This window comes from Homo sapiens, chromosome 8 (genome assembly GCF_000001405.40).
Source record: "Homo sapiens chromosome 8, GRCh38.p14 Primary Assembly".
Lineage (NCBI taxonomy): Eukaryota > Metazoa > Chordata > Mammalia > Primates > Hominidae > Homo > Homo sapiens.
The window spans coordinates 86,047,109-86,071,433 of NC_000008.11; the positions used below are offsets into that span (position 1 = coordinate 86,047,109).

Genomic DNA, 24,325 nt, shown 5'->3' on the forward strand with positions numbered 1-24,325 from the left:
TTTTCATTTTCTTTGTCATTTTTATTTTCATTTTGTAAATTACAAATGAAATGAAGCATTTTTTTCATTTACTCATTAGCCATCTATATGTTTATAAACCACCTGGTAAAATATTTGCCCATTTTTCTATTATTTATCTAATGAATTTGTAAGTGTCTTTCTATATTAAAGGAATTAATCCAGGTCTGTCATATATCATGTGATACAGCATTACAACATAAAAAGAAAATAGTTGTGTCACTAATTACATATTCTTATCTATATATCAGATATATAGCTGTTCCATCTATATAGCCTAAAAGAGAAAAATAAAATGAAAAAATTGAGACTGATTTTAAAGTTACAGTAAATGTCATTCTAACATTTTATTATTTTTCTGAATAAAATAAGCAATATCAACTAATTAATCATTTATTTACTATGTTTACCCACACATATGAGTGACTCACAGATATGATTAATAATATTTCAATCTTTATATCATTTTACAAAAATTTACCATATAAGAGATCAGGCCATATGTGACTTGCCTAGAGAACTAAGTTTTGAAACTTACCCCTTTATTGCATTACCTATAATTATTTCATGGTGAGTGTTTAAAGTCATCAAGATATTTGATTAAATAATTCTAAAAGAAACCAGTACATACTGAAAAGAGTTGACAGTAGTGATAAGAAGCAAGATGTTTATATTTTTTTGTAAACCCTGGTGGTTGATGAATGCTAACATTAGAAAAAAATCACTATTTTATGATTCTTAAAAATCTCTATTTTTCCCGTGAATAATGCCCCAATTAGACTAAAAGTTTCTGATAGATTGAAATTATATCTTATAGTTCTTTATAGGCCCCATAATTAATAATTTTTCATAAATATTTGCAGACTAAATATGAAATTAACAGACATTTATAACTACTTCGAGTGTTACCTAGTTAACACTGTATACTGGGGCTTAAATAAAAATCAGTAATTTCAGGATAAATACATATATTCCCCATATCTAACTATTCCTGCTATGTCTCTGGTTCACCATGCCTTCACATATACATCCCTTATTTCTATAGTATTGTATTTTATTTAATCCATTACATACTTTAAAGATTTTCTTATCTATTTATTGTTTCCAGTTATCTAAACATAGCTAGTATTTACTAAACTGTTAATCATTTGCAGCAGTATATTTTGGGAAAATGAATACAGGTATAGGAAAAATTATAGAACAAGAAAATGTTAAAAGTCAAGATCAATAGTATCCAACAATACCATGGAGTCCCGTGTCTTTGGAGCTTGAGGGTGCCCTAATCATGATGAAATGGTCCTAAAATAGGCAAAAATAGTTTTAGAGGTCATCTGCTTACAAAAGCGCAGACAGTGGCGATTCTACTATCCTTAAGTTTCTCTTGCTCCACATATGCCTGGATTTGTGAGAATAATGTGACTTAGAAGACTGTGCAGATCCAGGACTCTGAGAGTGGGGAGAGGCCCTCTGCATGAGGTTTCGGGATATGGCCCTCTGGAGATTCTTCATGGAAGACCCTGCAGCCATGGTGATCACCCAGGGATGGTCCAGGGCCTGGCCAGCTGACATGCGATGACCAGCCTCCAAAATCAGTAGTTTGTCTATAAAGTCCTTCGCCAAGTGGGAAATGCTTGGCCAAGGCTGAGAATAAAAATAAATAAGTTAGAATAAAATAAATAAAATGGAAATATACACAAACACAAAGAATCCTATTCTTAATTACATAGATCAATGCCAATCGAATCCAAAAAACTTTTTCAAATAAGCAGTTTTAATACTGTGTCATTACATATATAGAGGAACTAAACCACTTTTGAGGGAGGAAAAGAAAAAACTTTCACAGAAGAAAAAGACAAACACAAACACAGAAATTCTCTTCCAAACTCTTTGTCCAATGAGTGAGAAAACCTTCTCAGAAATCTGTCCATTGTGCTGTTGTTATCAATACGAGTTCCCATACTGCATTTACGGGAGCTGGACAAGGCAAAGCAGCTGTCTTTTACGAACTATGTCAACATCAGGTCAGTGTTTGCAACACTGTGGTCATCTCACAGAGTTCCTGTGACTTCAAGAATGAGAAGGAGTAGAAGGGGAAAGTGGAATGGATTGAGAAATCATCAACTTTTCCCTCCCTTTGAAAGCTTACTCTGAGCCAGGCACAGTAGCTCACGTTTGTAATCCCAGCACTTTGGGAGGTTGAGGAAGAAGGATCGTTTGAGTCCAGGAGTTTGAGACCAGCCTGGACAACACAGCAAAACCCCATCTCTACAAAAAATGTAAAAATTAGCCAGGCACAGTGGCACATGTCTGTAATCCCAACTACTCAGGAAGCTGAGGTGGGAGGATTCCTTCAGCCCAGGCATTCAAGGCTGCAGTGAGCTATGATGGCAGCACCACACTCCAGCCTGGGTGACAGAGTGAGACCCTGTCTCTAAAAAGAAAGAAAGAGGAGAGAGAGAGAGAGAGAGAGCGAAGAGGGGAGGGGAGAGGCAGAGAGAGAGAAGAGGGGAGGGGAAGGCAGAGAGAGAGAGAGAGAAAGAGTGAGAAAGAAGAAAGAAAGAAAGAAAGAAAGAAAGAAAGAAAGAAAGAAAGAAAGAAAGAAAGAAAGAAAGAAAGAAAGAAACGAAAGAAAGAAAGAAAGAGAAAAGAAAGAAAAAGAAAGGAAGAAAGGAAGAGAGAAAGAGGAAGAAAGAAAGGAAGAAAGGCAGAGAGAGAGAGAAAGAGGAAGAAAGAAAGAAGGAAAGGAGGGAGGGAGGGAAGGAAGGAAGGAAGGAAGTGAAGTGCACTTCCTCAAACACACTGGGCCCTCACTGTTCCCAATCAGCTGAGAACAAATAGATTCAACATGTAACAAATAGATTCAAATAGATTTGACTACAAATAGATTCAACACGTAACAGCTATGACACAGTACAATATGCACAGCTAAGTAGTTCCTATTTCAGGGATTTATAGTGGCAGTGTTTACAGCAATTGCACATACTTTAAATACAATAGCAGCACTTCATAGTGGCATTTCTGAGCATGGGAATAAGAAGGCTGTTGCTTTATATTCAAATTTGCTTTCTGCATTATCTGCTGAGAAAGAAAAGAAACAATTTAATCTGAGGAATGCAAGCCCCTTTAAATTATCAGGCCAAGAGAGGCACTGAAATATAACAGCCTTCACTTCTCATTCTCCTCTTGTGCTAAATAATTACCTCTTGAAGCCACTTGCTATGTGGGCTCTACGCTATCTAACACCAAGTAGCCATAAAGTGCCATAGGTTGGACACCATCACTCATACCCCACAGTTCAACAATATAGCCAATCACTAATCAATGTTATTTATGTAAACCAGTGTTAATTCCTCTCAAACAACTTTGTATCAGCCCAGACCTAAGAGCACACGCCCCACAGAAGTTAGGACGTTTTCCAGAGCAGCTGTCCCCACTTTGGCCTGATCAGACAAGCTCTTAAAAACTATATTTTGTGCCTCAGCCTCATCCTGTAGGTTGACTCTACCAGCACATACCGTATACCCGGAAAACACTACAGTTTAGTGTCCTTTGTCCTCTGCAAAAGAGAAACATTGAGAAAATTGCCCATACGTTTGCTGTATCTCAAACACAATTTCTAATTGATGTGTGTTTTTAAAAGATGGTATTTCCAAGGAAAGATAAGGGAATCCTTCCATGTATTGTCTCTGCCATTGTGTAACGATAAAGCAGAGTCCATACATAGACATCACATTCTCCAATCTCTTAGCACCCTATTAACTCTATGTTTTGTTTTTTGTTGTTTTGTTTTGCTTTTTTTAGAGATGGGGTCTTGTTATATTGCCGAGGCTGGACTTGAACTCCTCCTGGTCTCAAGCCATCCTCCTGCCTCAGTTTCCCAAGTAACTGTGACTGCAGACCCACTCCCACCCCCACCCATGCCAACTTAACTCAGAATTTGTTTGTTTGTTTGTTTTTGAAATGGTGTCTCATTGTGTTGCCCAGGCTGGAGTGCAGTGGCATGATCGTGGCTCACTGCAACCTCCGCCTCCCGGGTTCAGGCGATTCTCGTGCCTCACTCTCCCATGCTGGGAGAGTGCCTCACTCTCACATGCTGGGATTACAGGCATGTGCCACCAAGCCCAGCTAATTTTTGCATTTTTGTAGAAACCGGGTTTCGCCACGTTAGCCAGGCTGGTCTCAAACTCCTAACCTCAGGTGATCCGCCTGCCTCGGCCGCCCAAATTGTTGGGATTACAGGCGTAAACACTGCCCCCCGCCTTAATCCAGAATTTGAATAATAAGAAACCAGTAAAAGAACTCTTCTTTTTTTTCCTTCAGTGTATTTAGGTAAATGAGACATGAGAAATATTTATCCCAGAAATAAAAGTTATAAAATAAATAAGCATATCTGACAAATACTCAAACACAGGAAAAACAAAATATAAACTCTGCAAGTCTAGAAAAAGCACATCAGTGACTGACACTCACAATGCCATGCCCTCTGGTTCTGGCTAGACATCTATTTGGCCCTGAATCCAGACAAATCTATCTGAGCTCAAGACTATTTAAATGAAGGTTAAATTAGATGGCTCCTCTGGAACATTTTAAGACAAGCAACTGAATCTTTCTGAAAGAGTATAAAATATGTGCAACAAGGTTTATGGAGAGCTTATTAAGATGACCCCAAATGATTGTACGTTTAAAATGCAGTTGAAGAAAATAAAGTAACCGGAGAAAAAGTTCTTCAGCCAAAGCTTATTATTCAAACATGAGTTATAAATTGCAGAATTCCTGAGCCATAAAGGACAACTGGAGAGTATCTAGGAGTCAATTTCACATTTCACATTAGAAAAGGGCAGCTACAGAAAGAAAATGAACTATTTTATTTTTCTTTTATTAATCTAAAATTGATTTTCATCTATGTTTAGTAAAGTATAAAATAGACTAATATACATACACGTACATATCTATTAATGAATAAAAATGGAGTGTGCATGCCCCCAAATGTTTAATAGTGCTATATAACCAAAAACAACTAGGAAACCATAGGTTGAATCGAATACCCACTCTGGACCAGCTGTCACCTGATGACATCATTTAGTCTTTTCACCAGCTTTCCCATCCACTTGATGTCCAATAAACTTCCTTAGAATTTCTCCTCCCAAATTCGGCCACCCCCACTCTTTGCTTCAAAATTCCCCTTTGTTTGGCGTTTCTCGACAGTCTCAGGTAGACATGACCCCGAGTCCCACTGCTAACCCATCTTACTGTGGAAAAAGCATGAAGTCCTTGGATCTGGACTAGACAGGCAGTCTGACCACACACAGCTCTGCAACCTCAGGGTCTCAGTTTCCTTGTCAGAAAAATGGGGATCATCATATCTCCTTCACGAGATTGCCATTAGGACCAAATTAGACCAAGCATGTGAAAAAGAGTTTTCAAACTGTAAATATTGTTGCTGTTGTTCTTGTTACTATTAAATCCTCACACCTTAATTCCTTCCTCAGTTCTTTTGTGGATAGATTAACTGACTGCACTTAGAGAACTGGAATATGAAAATTATCCAATAATTCTCAAACCAATTCCATTCACAATAGCATGACAAATGTGCACCCTCAAAAAAAAGTTATGTGTTAAGAGGTAATGAACCATTTTACAAAAAAAGGAGAACTTTATTTTATCCCAAGATCATTAAATTAATTTAGTTGCAAGTAAATTGTAATATTTGTGGATATTTCAGGCCTTTTTCCCCTTTTCTTCTTTCTTCCTCTGGTTCTTTGCCTATTTTTCTGTCTTTTCCAATAGAGATTGGCTTCACTGTATAAAACAACAGTGACCCAAAAAAGGCATAAAACTGAAACTTACACCAGGAATCGCACTACTTATTAGCTTTAAATGATTCAAAGGAATTCGGAGGGATGGTATCTTACATGCTGTAGATGTCTTGACTCTCACCTTCAGAGAAGTCAGAAATGATTGTAGTTTACGGCTTTCCAGTTTTTTGATGAACAATATTCCTCTGTTGTTTGCCCACATCCAGGCCCTTTAAAAGAGTCTGGCTCTCCTCGCACAACACAGCCTGGCCTGCCCTGGTGAGGACCTTGCTGGACTCTTCTCCAGCATGGTTTCTCTAACTTCCCCTCAGTGGTGACTCTCTAACCCATCTCCCCAGCTTGCCACTTGCTGACTCTGTTCTCCCTCCTATTCTGCCCTCTTCTTCCTTTCAGTTGCCTTCCGTGGTCTGGTAGTCAGACCCCACTTCCCTCTCCAGTTTTCTGCATCAGCTTCCAAATTAAATGTTCTGTTCAGGCTTCTCTTTATCTAGCGGTCACACATCACTTTGTGTACTATAGACCCCCTATCTCCCCTCCTCACCATGAGCCCCAGGAATCCCATGGAGATTGGTGGTGCCTCTTCAAGGAGACAAGAATCATATATTCAAGATTAAAATTTTCATTCTCTTCTTTTTTATGAACACCAATTAGTGGGGCTAATTTAATATCTTGTGCAAAAGATTGGTAAATATACAAAAGCTAACTAGGTAACTGGTTTAAAGAATGACTAATATTCCTACAACTAGTCAACGCTTTAATATTTCTCAGTTCCTTTGCATAAATGCCCACAAAAAATCATTATAAAAATAAGTATTAGGACCAGGAGTGGTGGCTCATGCCTGCAATCCCAGCATTTTGGGAGGCCGAGTCAGGAGGATCACTTGAGCCGAAGAGTTCAAGACCAGCCTGGGTAACATAGTGAGACACTGTCTCTACATACAAAAATTAGCTTAGCATGGTGACACGCAGCGGTAGTCCCAGCTTCTCTGGAGGCTGAGGTGGCAGAGTTGCTTAAGCCTAGGAGGTTGAGGCTGCAGTGAACTGTGATCATACCACAGTAACCAGCCTGGGTGACAGAGCAAGACCCTGTCTCAAAATACAAAGAAACAAAAATTATTAAAAAGCTAAACACTACACACACAACATAGACCCAGTCTCTAAAATTCTAGATGCAAACCTTTGAATTTAAGATTGTAATTAATGTTACAATTTGCTAAATATAGAGCTCTTGAAGTATAGGACAATTATTGGTGGATTTAATTAAATAATTTTTTTAAAGCTACAAATATCTATTTTTAAAAATAAATAAATAAGCTATCATTCAATTCCTTGCACTAGAAATAATCATTGTCACATTTATCTCCACAAAAAATCATAAGTTTTATTAAAAATTTCTACTCATGACAACCTTCTGATGAATTTTCCTTCCTTCTTTGAACATTAGTGTGTGGTCTTGGTAGAATTTAGCTCAGGCTTTGCAAATAAATTTTATGTAAATATGCCCCAAACTGATTACTCTCTATGACTTTGTTAGTAGTAGGCATGGCAAAAATTATTCTTCCACATCTCAGGAAGCAGAAGATTCCATATATCATTTTTGTTATAGATATTTAATATTTTTATTTCTTTATTTCTCAATCTACAAAGCAGATTTTAAATGCTTTATCTTGACAAAAACGAAACTGCAGAAAGACAAAGCATTGACTAATTATGTCAGAATGCTCTGTCTGCTGGGGCATTTGTAAATTCTGGGAAGAGTGAACACATATTCACAAGTCACAGGTGCCATTTAATTTTAAAATGGAAAGTTAATTAATCTTACACTAGGCTCATAAAGAGTTTATTTTTGTGTGTGAAGGGGTTCTGCTTTGAGAGAAGGAATGCTTCCATTTCTTTACTCATAAGGAAAACCCTAAATTTAAGTAAAATTGGGTACAGTTGAAGTTTTTTGAGCACCTACTATTTTTCAAAGCACCAGAAGTTAACAAAAGGAGTGTTCCATTTTCTCCAAAGAAAAAACAACGTAACAGTGACCAAAATAAATGGGTTGGCCTTTGAACCCCAAATCAACAAATGACTCATTCTTCTATGCATAATATACATTTATTATTCATAACTGGTGCTTATAGTATAAACATATAGAATAATGTATTTATATTTATAACTAGTTCTTGCAGTGTACATCTATTAAAGTATAATATAAACAATATAAACATAGTATTAATATTAAGTCAGTTTCTGGAAACTTAAATAGTTCCTTTCCTCTCAACTCTGTGAATTCCACTGATGATATCAAGGTCAAGATACAACCTAATCAAGGAAGCAGATAGCATAGCTACGTTTATACCCTAATCACTAATGCAAGGTGACATCTACACAGTCAAAACAAAACACACCACCATCATTTCCCTTCCTAGAAACACTTATTGTCTGTGATTGAGTTTAAGAGATGAAGGTTTATATCCATTCAGTTTAAGGCAAGTCAGAGAAGAGATGAAGAAAGTGATAGAGCAGAAAATGAAGTTACTCTTGTAAGATTTAAAACCACTAAAATTATTTTCTATAAAGTAACTTTTAAAGTAAAAATATCATTAAAAATAATTAAGCACCACATATTTTGGTGAGCATAAGTACTTAGGAACTAAACCATAGGAATGGGAACCAAATTACAGGAATTACAGCTTAGCAGACCTATCTGAAATATGGTACAATATTCATTCCAAGAATTCTAGTCATGATGGAAAGAGAATTAAAGTACTGAATGTTCTGCTTTTCTTTCCTTTTTTCCTACTTAATAACCTGAATGGAGAACAAGAGAATAAGAGAAGTTAGTGGAGAAAAGGAGACATAACAAAATTGGGATCATGGCTGGTGAAAATGAGCATAATCAAACAGACATGTTACTTCTAAAAGAGAATATCAGCAAAAGTATTTCCTAACAGTATGAGAATCACAGGTGAACCTAAGTAGATAGGGACCATTTTCTATCAATATCCATGTGGGATTTAAAAATATATATACATATATATGTGTGTGTCTGTGTGTGTGTGTGTGTGTGTGTTTAGGCCAGGCACTGTGGTTCACATCTGTAATCCCTGCAACTCAGGAGGCCAAGGTAGAAGGATCACTTGAGACCAAGAGTTCAAGACCAGCCTGGGCAACATAACAAGACCCTATCTCTACAAAAGATTTTTTTTTTTAAATGAGCTGTGCGTGGCACATACCTGTAGTTCCAGCTACTCAGAAAGCAGAGGTGAGAAGATTGCCAAAGCCCAGGGAGTTTGGGGCTGCACTGAGCTATGATCACGCCACTGCACTCTAGCCTCCTGGGTGACAGAGTGAGACCTTGTCTCTCAAAAAAGAAAAAAATGTTTTTAATATCAGTGTCTGTCCTCGTCAGCTAGCTAATATGGTTATAATTCTCCTTTTTTTAAAATCAATGCATTGCTCACCAAAAAAAGATGACTGTGATACAGTGGAATATAATTAGACAAGAATATATGATTCACAACTCATTGATGAGAATTCTTGTAATTTATCATTAATATTAAAATTCTAACACTAACCTTTCTTCACTATTCCATGTAAAAGATTTAAAAGGTGCACTTGATAAATGAAGTTTGTACTGCAGAAAAAAAGCCATAAAACTAATAACTTACTTAGGCAAAATTCAAACTTTCAGTCCTAGTCTCCCAAGTTAATAGTAACAATAACAAAAATAATGAACATATATACAGCACTAACTCTGTATATACTAGCATATGAAAATAGTCTCAGCACCTACATCTATTAGCTTATTTGATCTTCACAACAACCCTTTTAGGTAGGTACCACCATGATTACCATTTCACAAATGCAGAAACTGAGATACAGAAAAAACTTTTAAATGTCCAAAGTTACACAGTTAGTAAATTGCAGAGCTGGTAGTGGAATCCAGCCAGTCTTGTTCCAGGTAGTTGGAGTTTTTTTTTTTTTTTGGTTTGTTTGTTGTTGTTGTTGTTGTTGCTTAGAGAGAAGGTCTCACTCTGTTACCCAGAAGACTGGAGTGCAGTGGTGTGATCATAGCTCGCTGCAGCTATGATCCTCTTGCCTCAGCCTCTCAAGTGGCTAGGACTATAGGCACATGTCACCATGCCCACCTAATTTTTAAAAAATGTTTTTGGTAGAGATGGGGTCTTGTTATGTTGCCCAGGCTGGCCTTGAACTCTTGGGCTCGGGTGATCCTCCCACTTCAGCCTCCCAAAGCACTGGGATTATAAATATAAGCCACCATGCCTGGCCCAGATCGTGTTCTTAATTATTATATTATACAGTTTTTCAAAATACTTAATATGCATGCATGTACACACACACACACACACACATACACACAAATGCATGCATCTGAGCTCTAAAGTTTTTTTTTGTTTGTTTGTTTTCATTTGTTTTTGTTTTTGTTTTTGTTTTTTTGAGACAGAGTCTTAATCTGTCACCAGGCTGGAGTGCAGTGGCTGGAGTGCAGTGGCCCGATCTCAGCTCACTGCAACCTCCACCTCCCGGGTTCAAGCGATTCTCCTGCCTTAGCTTCCTGAGTAACTGGGACTACAGGCACGCGCCACCACACCCAGCTAATTTTTGTATTTTTAGTAGAGATGGGGTTTCACCATGTTGGCCAGGATGGTCTCGATCTCTTGGCCTTATGATCCGCCCACCTCGCCTCAGCCTCCCAAAGTGCTGGGATTACAGGCATGAGCCACCATTCCTGGCCTAAAGTTTTTACATTTTACTAGTCAATGTATTCCTTTATGTGCTTTTGCATATATTCTGTCTATTTGGAATCTTCTTCCTTCCAGAAACTCCTTCCCTTCCTGCAAGATAGCACAAATGTGGCCCTTTTCATGGACCCTGACCCAGTTTTCCTAAGCAATGATAGATTTTCTTCCATTGCCCCTGTGAACTTTGAGGCTTTGTTCCCACTTACATTAAAGCACTTGTATTTGAAGAGATATATAATCATACTTGTCTCTCAGCCAAGACCACGAGGCTCCTAAGAGCAGAGACACTGAGCTGAACAAAATTTCTGGCACGAGGAAGGCCTGACCAGAAGGAAGGGGTGAAGACCACATAAAGATGCCTTCAAATGGTCTCCATAATGAGTCCTTTACTTAGCGTCTCAAGCACGAGCTCTGCCACCATCCAAAAGCCATTGTGATGGCACTGGCAATCAAGTAGATAAGTGAAGGCCTTCCTTGCACACTGGGGAGGAAATCTTTGCTCTCTTCCATCCCTTCTCCACCATCTGCTGTACCTGTCTACCCTGGCTGCTCCTCCAGCATTGCAGAAAAAAACTAGAAAAAGGAACTCCTATGCCTACCCTGCAAAACCCAGTGAATACAGTAGATGTAGCCTTTCAGACCACCTACCTATTCCAGAATGGACCTAATAAACTCAGCAACTAAGGATGTTAATTATCATCTACCTAACTATAAGTCAGAAATTCTATGCTGTGTTCAAAACAGTTATATCTGAGATACACTTACTCATGCAGTTATAAATCAGAATCTTTTAATATTTTTCAAAAGCAATTTATTTGTAATTGAATGCATTCTCCATGCTTATTCCTTTTAGATGTCTTACTGAATGCAGAGAGAAAATATGGTAGTATCCCTGCCTTTAAGGAGCTTATAATGTCTTAAAGCAGCAACCTATAGCAACCAGATTAAATTAGAACAAATGAAATTAATCGTAATTCTAAACAGTATTTGGAAAAGGGAAAGAATGACAGAAGTGGAATGATCATTGAAGATTTCATGAAAAAGAATATATTTCACAACAAAATCCAAAAAAGTTAAACATTAATATTATGGCTAACTTTTACTTATATACGAGTGGAGCTAGAGTATGGCTCTGTTAGATATTAGTATAATATTTAGTATTATATTAAACACCTCACTCCCCTTCACCATAAGAGGTATACCACATAAATCTCTGGAAGTTTTCATCCAATTTATTTTATTTTATTTTATTTATTTTTTTGAGACAGGGTCTCACTCTTTCACCCAGGCTGGAGTGCAGTGCTGCAATCTTAGCTCACTGCAACCTAGACCTTCCAGGCTCAAGCAATCTGCCCACCTCAGCCTCCAGAATAGCGGGGACTACAGGCACACATCACTATGTGTGGCTAATTTTTTGTATTTTTTGTAGACATAATGTTTTGCAATGTTGCTCAGGCAGGTCTAGAACTTCTGAGCTCAAGCAATCCTCCTGCCTTGGCCTCCCAAAGTTTTGGGATTACAGGTGTGCACCACAATGCCCAACCTATTTAATTTGATGTTTATACCTGAATTCTGGGGAAAATAAGTGATTTATACAATGTGTCATATCTGGAATTTCAGTTATAGGCAAAAGAAAACCTTTCTGAAAAAAGGCGAATTATTATTTTACAGTTCTGCAAATCAGAAGTCTAAAATGGGTCTTACAGGCTAACATCAAAGTGTCACCAGAGCTGTGTTCCTTCCAGAGGCTCTAGGGGAAAATGCATTCCTTGCTTTTTCCAGCTCCTAGAGACTGTCCTTATTCCTTGCCTCATGACCCCTCTCTCCATCTTCAAAAGCACATCATTTCAACCTGTTTCCATAGTCATATCTCTTCTCTCTAGCTTTGACCCTCTTGTCTCCCTACTATGAAGAAACTTGTGATCGTATTGGGCCTCCAAGATTATCCAGAATAATCTCCCAATCTCAAGAGTTTTAACTTAATCACATCTGCAAATTCTCTTTTATCACATAAGGTAGCAATCACAGATTCTGGGTATTAGGGCATGGACATCTTTGGTGGGCCATTATTCTGTCTACCACATCTATGCTTCCAGACTTGACGATATGGGAAACCAAAATATATCCACCAAAATATACTTCTTTGGCATATTTTGAGATGGCTCTTTAGAGGGGCTGCAGACATAACAGTGGCTCTGAAAGCTGTCCTTTTGTGGAAAAGATTTGCATCTGTAGAGGAAATCTACATTAGTGAAGTAAACAGTGGATGCAAACAGGATTTCTCTGAGACCCATTATCAGCCTTATCCTAAACTAGGAAAGATTAACTCATAGAAAATATCTGACAGTATTAAAGTTCCAACAGGGAAACTGTCACCACTGGATTCCATCTATTCTTTCTGAGAGCTGTTACCTGAGAGATTTCATCTGCATAACAAGACAGCCTTTGCTCACCATGCCTTTTCTCCCCTCCCCCTCCCAGAACCTGTCTCCAAACTCCAAGTCTCTGTTCCTTTCTGTACAGTATGAAAACTTCAGTCATTTGGCTCTTCTTTAAGTCTCATCTTTTGTGTGGCTCCTGTGCACAGAAATAAATTTATATACATTTTCTCCTGTTGATCTGCCTATTGTCAGTTTGCCTTATAGATTCAAATTATATTCGGAAGAAGGGGAAGGAAAATTCCCTTTACTCTACAGTGGTCACCTGGTTTTAAATAAAATTGGTACAATTAGCAATTACTAGACTTGGCAATAGACGCTAAATATATGGTAATATGATGACAAATGAAAACATGATGATATACTTTTCTGAGTCTACCGATATATGATTCCTTGGTATTATGGACTGAATATTTTATTCTCTCAAAATTCTCTGTTGAGCCCTAACCCCCAGTGTGGCTATGTTTGGAGATGAGGCCTCTAGGGAAGTAGTTAAGCCACCAAACCTGTGTTATTTTATTATGGCAGCCTGCACTGACTAAGACACTTGATGATATCAAAAGAAATGTTAATATGCTAGACATGAGTGCCTGACAGACATGGGGAGGGAAATCAAGATAATATAAATCTAGTACTTTATTACAAGCAGTCACACTCCTCTGTGGTGCATGTTGTCAGTACTCTGGTGCTATAGGCAGACATTTCCTCAAGAAACAGAGGGTGCCTTGCACCTCCCACCATGGAGATGCTGTTAATGCTCCATCTAGACCCTGGGCCCCTCTTTCCTGTATGCATGCACGCACCCTTCTTTTGAAGTGCTTTGCTTCTAAATCCCAGCCCCCTGCTCTTTTTCAGCAGACTGCCCTGGGGCTCATGGAGTCACTCTGCCTTGACCTCAGAAGGCCTGAGAATTTACCACCATTACCAACCTCAGTGACCAACAGATAGGTGTGGTGTGAAAACCCTGCCCATTAGCCTCTGGACAATGCTGAGAAATATTAATATCTCCCCTGCTGAATAAGGCCTACCCTCTGTGGCCTTGGCCTCTTTGCCTCCCTTGTCCTGCTCCCCTCACTCCCTTACCTGTCTCCCCAGGAGTCTATCCATAATAAATCACTTGCACATGAATCCTCTTCTCAGTTGCTTTTGGGGAAACTGACCTTAGGAACTCTCTGAATTAAACCTAACAAAAGGATTTTTAAACAGAAAATATTGTATATTGTTTATTATTCTTTCACATTAAAAATAATTATAGTATCTAGTCCAAATATGGCCCAAATGGACCGCACCCCCATATCACACTCTGTGTAGTTCCCCCCAACATTGAATCATGGCTGGCCTAGGACTCAGTAGCCAATAGAATGATGCAGACATGGAGCTGTGCTATTTTCAAGTTTAGCCTTGAAGAGGACTGGCAACTTCCATACCTCCCTTTTGGAATATCCCCTTCCCTCAGCTGTCATGTAAGAAATCTGGCTGCCCTGCTGGAGAAAGCACATGGAGAAACCCGTGGAGGAAAAGAGAGCCAGAGATGCATAGAAAGAATGAGAGAGAAAGGCCTAGGAGTCCCAGTGATCTAGTTGAACCCAGATTCCAGCCATCCGCACCAAGATGCCAGACATTTGAGTGGGGCCCTCGTGGATATTCCATCCCAGTCAAGCCCCCAGATGACTGCAGTCCCATCCAACATCATGTGGCACAGAAGATTCACAAGCTGAGCCTTATCAACCACAGGTTCATGAGTCATAAAAAAGTGATGATTGTTTTAAGCCACTAGGTTTGGGGATGGTTTGTTATGCAGTGGTAGATAACGAAAACAGAAATATATGTTCTTTGTAAACAAAACAAAAACAGAAATACAAAGATATTCAAGCTATAAAGAAAATCAAAATGATCCAAATCACCATACCAGGAGAAAAGCCCAGTAAACATGCTATTATATTTCCTCCTAGTCTTTTCCCATGCAAACGTTTTCCCACACGAATGTGATCATAGTGTATACACAGTTTATATCCTGCTTTTATTCTACTTGGCAGTATATTGTGAAAATTTTCCAATGTCATTACAATTTTTAAATGTGCATGAATTGGGGACTATCATACTCTATCATATGGATGCTCAGTTATGTGTTCAAACATTCTCTCAGGACTCTTTAATTTTTTACTTTTGTAAACATAGCTTGGATTAGTACTCTTACAGTGAAACCTTTGCTGCATCTGGGATTACTTAGATTCTTACAAATCGAATTATAAGATCAAAATACATAAATTTTTTAAAGTTCTTGATATGGTTTGGCTCTGTGTCCCCACCCAAATCTCATCTCAAATTGTAATCCCTGTAGTCCCCGTGTGTCAGGAGGGGAACGAAGTGGAGGTGATTGGATCATGGGCAGTTTCCCCACGTTGTTCTCATGATAGTGAGCGAGTTCTAACGAGATCTGATGGTTTTATAAAGGGCTCTTTCCGCCTCTCTTTTTCTCCTGTCACCGTGTGAGAAGGTCCAAGCTTGCTTCCCCTTGGCCTTCTGTCATGATCGTAAATTTCCTGAGGCCTCCCCAGCCATGCAGAACTGTGAGACAGCTAAACCTTTTTTAAAATATAAATTACCCAGTCTTGAATATTTCTTTACAGTAGTGTGAAAATGGACTAAGACAGTTCTAGATTCATATTTTCAAACTACTTTCCAAGAAACCTGTGACAATTTGTCCTCTACTAGTACTTAGTGAGAGGGCTAATCTCTCAGTACCCTTCACAGCCATATGTAGAATTTAGTTGTTTGTTGTTTTATCTTTATGAATTTGAAAGACAATAAAAAGACATTTTTGTGTTCATTTGCATTTCTTTGGTCATTAGTGAGGCTGGACATTTTTCAGACTTTTAATAATCAGTGGTATTGCATTGTCTGTGAATTCTTCCCATCCTTTCCTACTTCCTTGTATAAATTTTAGCTCTCATTTATCAATTTGAATGAGTTTGTAAAAACATATACATGTACCATAAGGCACTAAAGGTCTGTCAGAGTGTAGAAAACATTATATTTAAATTTGGTGTTTAACTTTAATTTTGCTTAAAGATGTTGCTGTAGATATACACGTTACATTTTAAGTAGGTATAAGCAAATATCAATGTTTTTCTTCATGAGAAATTAGAAGTCAAATAAATTTGCTCATCTGCTGTACATGAAATGAATTTCCTATTTTGTCAGGCTTCCCACACACAAGCATTGGCAACTTTCCTTCCCTACCCAAAACAACAAAAAAGTTAACACATTCATGAACACTGGGAGTTTCAAGTTTAATCAGTGGATAAATATTTTACACAAGCTGTGAGGTTAAACATTTCGCTGAGAAAACACTTCATCACAAAAAGGGCTTGGATCATCAAGATTTAAGGCAGAAAAATCTCTCGCTAAACACCCAAGCGTCATGCTGAGTTTCTGTGAACACATTAGTCTAGTCAGCCAGCTCAGGCTCTGCACAGATTGGAGAAAAAAACTGCAGAGGAACTCATTTATCTACTTGATTGTCAGTGTCATGTGCTAACCACAGGCAGCTAGTAATGGAGGCCCTTGCTATCTTGAGTCAAATGGCTCTCAGTCAGGGGCGATTTTGCCCCACAGGGGACATTTAACAATGTCTGGAGACATTTGGGGGCCCCACAACTGGGGGAGGTACATTACTGGTATTTAGAGTAGAGGGCAGTGATGCTGCTAAGCATCCTACAGCACACAGGACAACCCCAAAAATCATCCAGTCTTAAATGTCAAAAGTGACAAGGTGGAGAAGCCCCACTCTAAACCAACACAATAGAAATAAAATAATGCTCTCTTACCTCTCCTGTATAATTATATTTGCCTTTCAGAATCTTCCTGTAAAGCCTTGTCTGGCTTTCATCATCAAAAGGCAGGAATCCGCTAAGTAAAGCATATGTGATCACACCAAGAGCCCACATGTCCACTGCACTGGTATAAGGCTTCCTTAGCAAAACCTCAGGAGCTATGTACTCTGGGGTCCCACAGAGTGTCTTCATTGTCCAGTCACCACTTTTTTTCCCGGAGTATGCCAAACCAAAATCTGTAATTAAAATTTTCGACTCTTCACCTGGATGATAGTATAAGAGGTTTTCAGGCTTTAGATTCCTATGAGTTATCTGCAGCGCATGCAAATACCTAATCCCATCAGCAACCATCTGGAGGATCCTGACGGCATCCCGCTCTGTAAAGGATCCCTGAGCAATGAGTCGATCAAAGAGCTCCCCTCCGGTAGCCAGCTCCATTACCATGTAAACTTGATCCTCAGTCTCAAAGATCTCCATGAGCTGGACAATGTAACGATGGCTAACCCGCCGCAGGACGCTCAGCTCAGACACGCACGCTTCTCTACCTTCCCTCTCTCTGGTTTCCATCACTTTTATTGCAAAAGGTTTCTTGGTGGTCTTCTGCTCTACCCTGACAACCCTGCTGAAACTGCCTGTCCCAATAAGAGCTTTGATGTCATATCTGTTGGGAAGAAAAACCAAACATGTTATCCCCAGAAGTGATGATTCTCAAAATTATTTAAGTCCATGCTTTATATCATCTTTTCTATCCTTCTATTCCTCCCATCAGATTTATTTGTTTATTATTACTTGTGTTTATTATTTTTTGAAAGGTACCCCAAATCCTGTTTTGAAATGGAGGAAAACGATATAAAGGTAATTTGTTGGTAGAAAGACAATCTTAATACAATAACTACCATTTATTATACAGTTATTATATGCCAACAATTTTTAAAAATCTTATCCCTACTAAAACCCTGCTGGGTAATATAATAATATCCCCCTTTTTCAAATAAGGAAATTCAGACTTAAAAAGAAGTTAAATGAGTTATCAAGGGCACCCAGATTGTGGTTGGAATGGATGGGATTCAAATCCAGCCCTTTCAAATGCATTTCACAAAAACTGTTTCAAGAATGTTAAGACCCCCCTCTACCAATTTCTTTCCTTCCTCTAGCCCTTGTTTTTGTCATTCTTCAACAACAAACAAATCAAGTGGGGGAGAATAAAGTAGAAGCTTACTCCTGTTTATAATTTCTCAAAGGCTGAGGATCCCATATCAGAAGACAGAGAATAAACAGTATGTTTCTTTGGGTTGCTTGACTGTGAGCTCAGCCCCAGGCTCATCTTGTACACAGTAGCTGTTAATAAGGAAGAAGTAAATGCAGCTGTGCTATTATAAGAGCCGGTTTCAGCAGTCTGGTGGGAGTAGTGTTAGGGCCACCTTGCAGCCAGTAGCTTCTCACAGTCTCCCTCCATCCCCATACCCACACTTGGAATTTCTCGGCAGTAAAGAGAATTTTAACATGGAATGTATGTCAATAATTTGTAAACCAATTATCCCACAAAAAGGCCAAGAACATATGTTTACCTACGTAACAAACCTGCACATCCTGCACATGTACCCCTGAACTTAAAATAAAAGTTGAAGAAAAAAAGGCCAGGATATCAGCTCAGATTTCAAATGCTAGGGATCTTAAGCTTTAATTATCTGTGTAAACGTCTATTAAAATTTAAGAATCTGGCCAGGCACGGTGGGCTCATCGTGTAATCCCAGCACTTTGGGAGGCCGAGGTGGGAAGACTGTTTGAGCCTAGGAGTTTGAGAGCAGCCTGAGCAAAAAACTGAGACCCCTTCTCTATAACAAATTTAAAAATTAGCCAATCATGATGCACAGCTGTAGCCCCGGCTACTGAGGGGACTGAAGCAGGAGGATCCCTCGAGCCCAGGAATTTGAGGTTGCAGTGAGCTGTGATCAGACCACTGCACTCCAGCTTGGGTGAGAGAGCGAGACCTCTGTCTCAAAAATTAAAAAAATAAAATAAAATAGAATCCTATCAAATTTAACCCTCTACCTCATATTTAAGACATGTTGAGAAAATGCTAGACTTAAAATCACGATTGTATAGCTGGAAAGAATATTAAAGTTGGGTATTTAACCCAACTTCTTGTTTTACTGATGAGGAAATTTGAAGACCACATTAGCCAATTGGTTGTTTACGTTGTAGAGTCAGGATTAGAACGCAGGTCTCCTTTTTTTTTTTTTTTTTGAGATGGAGTTTTGCTCTGTCACCCAGGCTGGAGTACAGTGGCATGATCTTGGCTGACTGCAACCTCTGCCTCCCGGGTTCAAGAGATTCTCCTGCCTCAGCCTCCTGAGTAGCTGAGATTACAGGTGCACACCACCATGCCTGGCTAATTTTTGTATTTTTTTTAGTAGAGACGGGATTTCACCATGTTTGCCAGGCTGGTCTTGAACTCCTGACCTGAAGTGATCTGCCCACCTCAGCCTCCCAAAGTGTTGGGATTACAGGTATGAGCCACTGTGCCTGGACTTCATTTTAATAAAACCTCTCCTAGCTAAGGATGACAGAGAATGGAATGTACTCAGGGAGTACCCAGGGAGAAGGCACGTTTTTATATCACATATTCAATACCAAAGATTCAAATGCAAATACTAAACTATGCTTTAAATAGTCTTACTTCTTTTATTGAGCTTATTTTTCCTGTAACTTTTTTTTTTGCCTTCTTGTTTGTTCTTTATATTCCTGTGTGTATTGAATAAAAATGACATTTGGCTGTACCAGATTACAGAAAACAGCTTTGTTCTCCACAGAGCATTTAATTTTCTGGCCAATTACCTTATCAAAACAGATAGCAATTTAGTAATCTTAAATAGATTCTTTCCCCTTTTCCCTTTCCAACTCTGCTTTTCTATTCACATGCATTCTCAGTGTGATTTTGAAGATAATCACAGGCATTTCAAATTCTATTGCTTTGCAGACCAACCAAGTTTTATATTACCTCTATTGTGGATGAAAGCACTTTGTAAATGCTAATTTATCGCTATGCCCTCAAAGCTGCCATCAAACTCATTTGTTCACAGAATTAATCATATCAAACAAACTACCATTTCTGAGAACTACACGCTTTTGCTCAAATAAAAGAAGCTTTATTCAATACTGTTAAGGGGGCTTCATATTTCCAATATTTGAAAAAATGCTAGTAATTTGGCATTGGAGGAAACAGTACACTTGAAGCCAAGATTTAGAGTGGTGGAAATAAATGCCTCAGATTGTTATTCAATTTGTCCCATAACAAATTCTTATAGCTACAGCCTTGCTCGTGAGTCCTCAACTGCCATGAATGGTGACCAACTTTATGATTTGCGTGGCTATACCTTGTAAAGTGCCTAGCACAGAGGAGTAGCAATAAACACTGAACAAAAGAATCATTCACTGAATACATATTATTCCTGAATCATCATATATATTTTGCAAACATTAAGTAAAGATCACATCAAGCTGGGAAGAATGCCTTTATAAGGTCTTTTCATTTCCTTCACTTTTACCCCTCCACTCTCTTAAAGAGTAGCCTCAGAGTCAGTTTAGTAGGTTGGACAATTTTGTATCATCCCAGAGACTACGTAAATTGGAAATATTACTTTAACCTCAGCTGCTATGATACAAACTGGGAATTTTTGAACATAGATTAAAGATTTGAAACAAGGAAATAATAATAGTGTTACAATCTGCTTGAGAGAAACAATTATAATAAACTCCCAACAAGAAAGTAAATATACTCATATCTAAATTCTATCATCTCTTTTCTGCAAAAGTTATAGATGGAATCACAACGGAGAAGGAAGACGACTGTGTTCTAGTCCCAATTCTACCACTAACTTGGACAAGTCACTTAACCTTTGGGGACACAACTACTCATTGGTTAAAGATGAGCCTTGAGTTAAAATCTCTGAAGCCCTTATAATGTTGAGATCCTCTACTTCTGTGATGCCTTTACACTCTATGGGGCTGGGTCTACCCCTGGATTGGGAATTAGTAGGGTGGATGAAAACTAGACCAGACTAGCATCATCTCTCTGACTACAAATGACCAGAGATGCCATTTAACCAATTCAGTCTTGACAAGACCCTGTACCTACTCAGATTCAGTTCAGTCATATTAGCCAGCCTTGTTCTTCTGTAAGCTTAGCAGCCACCGAACTAATCCTCCAGGAGTCACTGTACTAAAAGTTCTCAAGGAGGCCAGGAAATGGCTCTGCATAGATTCTGGACAGAGCACTGTGACGAAGTGAGCATGCAATTCTAGGACCAGCAGTGCCTTGGGAAGCCAGCTGAGCCACCCATTATTGTGTCTCCCCAAACACACAGAGGAGAAGGGGATTCCGTGATTTACTTGGTCAAAATGTCCAACATGTCCAACATGGTACACTCAGGAGGCCAACCAACCTGAAATCTTCTACATAGGAAGGGCTTATTTGTACTTCATGAAAACAATAATCAGCATTGCACTAATGTCTGCATGAGGACTGGTACCATGCACTGTGCAGCATAATTTACATGTATTACTTTAATTATGCTCACAACAGTCTTATGAGATAGATACTCCCATTTTACAGAGCTAGAAACGAAGGAAGGAAAAAAGCTAAGGAATGTTCTACATGGTACATGATAGAAGATATGGAACTGGACCTCAAGTCTGGCTGACTCAAAGGCGCATCTCTAGTTCACTCGCTGTAATCCCAATTTTTAGAATTAGTGGAAGATCCTTCACACACCAGGTCTGGCAGGACCCAGCCCCAGGATATTAGAGGCAAAGCCGTCTTCCACCGCAGATGCTGGAGGTTGGCAGACAGTCCTCTCACACCCCCACCCCCCACCTCCGAAGATAGGAATTCCTTCCCTTGTTTGCTGCTGCTCCTGCTCTCTTTTTTCCCATCCTCTGAACTCCCTGTTCAGAGATGTCAAAGAGAAATTGTACTGGGCACTTATGGAACACAGCAAGGAAGGCTTATCCCAGACTATTGCAATAGGAGTCGAGGCTTCTGCAACAGGGGAAAGAAAATGGACGCCTTCGAAACAAAAGGCAAGAAAGTTTTTAAGCGCTGGGGTGAGCCAGTGGAAAAGAATGGGAGAAGCTTAGGGAGAGGTGGTCAATGAGATCTGTGTTTGCTACCTGGCCCTTATGGAAGTTAGGCTCCTGCCCTCCCACAGAGACTGGGAGACAGTGGCCCTAACTCTCTTGATGACTACATTTCAAAGGGATGGCTGCCAGGTGCCTGAAAAAGACACTCTTGGGTTGTAGAAGATTTACATCTCAAAAGGGCAGAGAAAGGGGGAGATCAGTGCCTATCATCCGAAAGAACCCTGTCCAAAATTGAGTCAAGCTGAAGGGAACCTCGAGGCGGTCTTGGCCAGGGGTTTTTCTTTGTCAGCCCAGTCCCAGGCCAGTTCCTCACGTGGCGCTTTACCTGGCAAGGACCCGGGGGTCGAACTTGGCTCGGAAGCGAGCCACCTGTATCCTCTGCGCCGCCTGGGCCGCCGCCTCGGGCCCAGGCCCCGCGCCTCCGACGCCGGCTTGGTTTTGACCTTCGTGCTTGGCCCAAGCCAGCGCTGGTGGCCCCGGGACCACCTTCCTGCTGGCGCCGCACCCCATACCCGCAACACGCCCGCCGCTCGCGGGACCTGGGGACTCGGGAAGCAGCCAGCCCCGTTCCTCCGCCCTTTATCAAAGAGCAGCTGCGAGGGGCGGGACCCTCGGAAAGAAACCCCACTGGGGGGTCGTGGTCAGGGAGACAGCCCCCAGGATACCCGCTAACGACCGAGACGCCTGGATCATCGCTGGTCACCGTCTGTGTGTGTAATCTGACGTGATGAAAGCAAAGTCAACCAACAGGCAGAACCTGCGCCTAATTGTCTGGGCTTCACTTTCTGCATCTCTAACCTGACAAAGTGAACATATAAAATTATACGATTGTATAAAGGATATCGTCCCTCTAAAGAACTTTTCGCTGAGCTCATATTCGGATGACATGAACATTAAACATACATATATATATATATTTAAAATTCTAAGAGCTTATAATATTTAAAGTATAACTTCACTGCCTTCTATTGCATTAAACGGATGACAAAGGCCTGTGTCTGGCACTCATGACCTTCATCTTCCGGGTAATCCATCTAAGAGAGAAAAACTGAGGGCCACGATAGATGTCTAGAACCCAGACGAACACCCTAAGCAAATACAGTGAGAAAACCTGTATATACATATACAGTGTATATACAAAACCCGTATATACAAATATAGTGAGAAAACCTGTATATAGATATAAATATATATAAATAAATATAAATATTATGTATGGTAACTTTACATTTTCTATATATTTCATTCTTGTATTATTTATACATATTATACATGTATGTGAATGTGTGTATATATATTATACACACACAGTATTATAATACTTATAAATATTTATCATTTTGATAAATGTATATTGATTATATCACTATATTGATTAGATTTCATTGATATTTGTCAATTATATTCATTCACACACACACACACACACACACACACACACACAAATGATGTGTGGGAAATGAAATCCAGTCACGACCAAGCAAGTCAAGATCACATGCCTCCCAAGTTGTAGAACCGGAACTGGAGGCTGCTTCCCGATTTCCAGGCCAATGCTACTTCAATTTGTGTAATTTCCTTTCTAATTTCATTTAATTTGTAGTTTGGCTTAACAGGGAATGTCTGTGATGAATAAATTAGTCATGAACTTTCCCAGAGCTATATTTTGATGGAAAATTTAAAATACGGCTTGCATATAGCTGAGGGAAAATTAGTTCATCCTGCAAAGAGAGCATAACTACCAAATAATGGACTTTTCTTCCTAAAGAACCCTCAGAATTCTCCAACTACTAAGAAACAAGGAAAGAAGGTTTATTTTAAGCAGGTAAACAACTCGTTCTTATATGTCTCGAGCTTTTGAACTAATTTGCAGAATAGGCTATCTATTAGGTTAGAGCAAAAGTAATTGTGTCTTTGCCATTAAAAGTAAAGGCAAGGCCGGGCATAGTGGCTCACACCTGTAATCCCAGCACTTTGGGAGGCCAAGGCATGTGGATCACCTGAGGTCAGGAGTTCCAGACCACTGTGGCCAACATGGTGAAACCCCATCTCTACTAAAAATACAAACATTAGATGGGCCTGGGGGTGCGTGCCTGTAGTCTCAGCTACTCAGGAGGCTGAAGCAGGAGAATTGTTTGAACCTGGGAGGTGAAGGTTGCAGTGAGCTGAGATCGCGCCACCACTGCACTCCAGCCTGGGTGACAGAGCAAGAGTTCATCTCAAAAGGCAAAAGCTGCAATTACTTTTGCACCAACCTAACAGTATAAACAGAATGGAAGAGAGAAATAAAGGGAACAAACTGAAGTCAGATGTTAAGGTACTAC

The 24,325-nt window shown here is 39.4% G+C and overlaps 1 protein-coding gene across 2 annotated transcripts, besides 1 other annotated feature; it reads right to left on the reverse strand.

The window, feature by feature from the left end:
- Positions 1-22,879, reverse strand: PSKH2 (protein serine kinase H2). 2 transcript variants are annotated; one of them, XM_017013929.2, is made up of 5 exons: positions 22,803-22,879; positions 22,330-22,723; positions 21,739-21,809; positions 16,857-17,523; positions 333-1,659 (listed from the first exon to the last, which is right to left on the reverse strand). In XM_017013929.2, the coding sequence occupies exons 1-5, from the start codon at positions 22,877-22,879 to the stop codon at positions 1,354-1,356; spliced, it is 1,515 nt and encodes a 504-aa protein (XP_016869418.1). In that variant the 3' UTR covers positions 333-1,353. The 2 variants fall into 2 exon arrangements, with proteins under 2 accessions (NP_149117.1, XP_016869418.1); NM_033126.3 differs by lacking the exons at positions 21,739-21,809; positions 22,803-22,879 and having other exon boundaries at positions 1-1,659; positions 22,330-22,560.
- Positions 17,053-17,554: an enhancer, noted in NCBI's record as "NANOG hESC enhancer chr8:87076390-87076891 (GRCh37/hg19 assembly coordinates)". NCBI's record gives its function as "activates a minimal SCP1, AML or CMV promoter by ChIP-STARR-seq in primed H9 embryonic stem cells {active_cell/tissue: H9 hESC(primed)}" and the evidence as "EXISTENCE:reporter gene assay evidence [ECO:0000049][PMID:30033119]".
- Positions 22,880-24,325: the final 1,446 nt, after the last annotated feature.